The sequence below is a fragment of the Homo sapiens genome, chromosome 2, assembly GCF_000001405.40.
Source record: "Homo sapiens chromosome 2, GRCh38.p14 Primary Assembly".
In the NCBI taxonomy this organism is placed as follows: Eukaryota; Metazoa; Chordata; class Mammalia; order Primates; family Hominidae; genus Homo; species Homo sapiens.
This window is the reverse complement of record NC_000002.12, coordinates 235,323,521-235,326,427: the sequence shown is the minus strand read 5'-3', so window position 1 is coordinate 235,326,427 and position 2,907 is coordinate 235,323,521. Positions and strand designations below refer to the sequence as shown.

Sequence of the window (2,907 nt, the reverse complement as noted above, 5' to 3'; positions counted from 1 at the left end):
GTGTGTGTGGGTATGTGTGTATGTATACACATATATATACACATATACCCACACACATATAAAAATCACAATTCTTTATCCACTCATTGATTGATAAGCACTTGGACTGGCTCCATATTTTTGCAATTGCAAACTGTGCTGCTGTAAACATGCGTGTGCAAGTATCTTTTTCGTATAATGACCTCTTTTCCTCTGGGTAGATACCCGGTAGTGGGATTGTTGGATCAAATGGCAGTTCTATTATACTTTCAGTTCTTTAAGGAATCTCCACACTGTTTTCCACAGCGGCTGTACTAGTTTACATTCCCACCAGCCATGTAAGTGTTCCCTGTACACCACATCCACGGCAACATCTATCATTTTTTGACTTTTTGATTATGGCCTTTCATGCAGGAGTGAGGTGACGTCGCATTGTGGTTTTGATTTGCATTTCCCTGATCATTAGTGATGCTGTCTGCCTCTGTCTTCAAGTGGCCTTATTACCTGTGTGTGTCTCGGTGAGTTCTCTCTTATAACCCCAGTCACTGGGTTTTGACCCCACCCTAATCCAGTATGACTTCATTATCACTGATTTCTTAACTAATCACAACTACAAAGACCCTATTTCCAAATAAGGTCACATTCTGAGGATCCATGTGGGCATGAATTTTGGGGGATAACACTCAACCCACTCCATGTACCCTAATGCAAATGCTATGAAAGAGCAGAAAAGAGACCACGTGGAGGCAGGAAAGGCTTTGGGGAAGCCAAGCGACATGGAATCCTTGGACATAGGTAGCATTTGAATGAGAAAGGAAGAAGGAGAAAGGGCCCTCAAAGAAACAAGAGCATGCACGGTACCCCAAGCTCAGGTTGCCTGCTCTTGCCGGGATAGGGGCTGGGGCAATGGTGGGGGAACAGGGAACCTTAGAAAATGAGGTTCTAAGACCAGCTGGGAGCAGGCAGTGGGCAGCCTCAACTGCCAGGCTGGGTTGGGCTTTTCTGGGTCTTGGGCCCTTTTCCATAAGTGGAGACAAAGACCGTCCTCTCCTGGTCCCCACGGGCTGCTGCTCCCGCTGGTGCTCTGTACCTCCAGGGGCAGCTGGGCAGGAACAGGCAGGTCGAGGCATGCACAGGTGACTTAGGTGACACCAAGCCTGTGGAATTCAGTGAACAAGACTCCCCTCCCCCATGGAGGCTGCCAGAGCTGAGCTGCTCCTCGACCTCCCAGTCAGTAAAAGGGTTCTTGCATGGACAAACCCCCCAAAACAGAGACCACCACGCTCCAGCCACAGTTTCCTCTGGGCTGGGGGAGGGAGGGGAGAGGGCGATTAACATACTCAAAACTTTGCATTCGCTCAACGTGCTACACCACGGCACAAATATCAAATCACAAATATCAAACCACAAAGACGTGAATTTTCTCAACAACACAACAAGTCATCATTCTGAACCTAAAGTCCACATACAAACAAGTTGTTCGATTTCAAATGGACAGTTTCACTCCATTGTTGTCAAAAATGGAGGAACAGCAGGAAATGTAGGAGAACACTTCACACCCAGAGTGCTTCCAAGCAAAGCTACTGCCCCGCAAAAGGCATTTATTAATCTCATTACTGGCCCTAATTTACCCCATTTTGACAATTAGTTTAAACTACTGAGAAAGAAGGGGCCTCCCACGGCTTCAGGGAAGGGAAAGATAGGAAGCACCCATTTATCACGCAGTCATCGTGGGAGCCTCCCTGGTCCACCCTCCCCCAGCCCCAGCTCCCTCCTTTGCAGAGACGCCTGCCTGCCTTTGATCCCTGGGCTGGACCTATGGGAACTTTCTCCCTGCGTGCCTACTTGAGGGCAGGGGCTCTGCCTGCCTCCTGCAACTCGGGCGCTGTCCATTTACCTCCAGCCCTGTGCTGGGGCCCCGCAAGGGCTCATTCAGCCTGGAACTGGGATTTCTGGCTGTCAGTGGGGATCTTGGTGATGTCATAGCTGTTCATCTGACCTCTGTCTGACAACAGCTGCTTCAATTCGTTTGTGGAAATGGGGAACCATCCATCTTTTCCATCTTTTCATACCCATGCTGACACTGACAGCCTCAAAGAACTCGGGGCAGTGAAGTTGCCTTCCGTCAGCCCTGGAAATGTAATTGAGGGAGCCGTTCCATAACACTAAGAAGAATCAAACCCCGAAGTCTGTGGTTCTGCATGAATACAGCAGGCAAAGTGGATTGCTTCCTCTGTGCCATATGAGGATGGCATGTGAGGATGTGCCATATGAGGATGTGCCATATGAGGGGCTGTTCTGGAAGACTGAGGGCTCCATTCGAAGGGGCGGCCCTCCTGGTGACAGATAGGGGTTCTCCATCAAGGTGAACCTTAGAATCACTTGGGAAGCATTTCAAGTTGCAACCAGACCCCACGTCAGACCTCAGGGGCTGAGCTGGGGAGGGAGCTTGGACTTGTGGGCAACCGATAGTGCACTCTTGTCTTTTTGGAACTTTTATCACATTTTCTGAATACATGTAAGTTATGTTCATGGTTTTTTAAAAATGGGGCCAGTAAAGAATAAAGACAGCATAAGGAGGACATTAAAGTGAACTGTAGTCCTCCCAACCTCCTTTAAAATGCTGATGTCTGTCCTTCCAGACTGCTTTCCAGAAAAGAAAGGCAGATTATGAAGGAAGTGCCAATTATGGGAAGAGCAAGCCCCTACCCACAACCCTGGGGGTACTGTACCCGTCAGGAATGGAACTCTCAGAAGTGTATGAAATTGCACAATATAAGGCATGGACTCATGGACTTATTTATGCTGCAAATGTGTAAAAATTGTTAAAAAAGAATTACTTCAGGATAAAAAATAAAATCCTGCTGCTGCTCCCAAATCATCACCTCTCCCCAAATGTTTTAGCTGTGATACCGTAGATAGTATATA

At 47.9% G+C, this 2,907-nt stretch overlaps 1 annotated feature.

The window, feature by feature from the left end:
• Positions 529–1,431: an enhancer, noted in NCBI's record as "H3K4me1 hESC enhancer chr2:236233641-236234543 (GRCh37/hg19 assembly coordinates)". NCBI's record gives its function as "activates a minimal SCP1, AML or CMV promoter by ChIP-STARR-seq in naive H9 embryonic stem cells {active_cell/tissue: H9 hESC(naive)}" and the evidence as "EXISTENCE:reporter gene assay evidence [ECO:0000049][PMID:30033119]".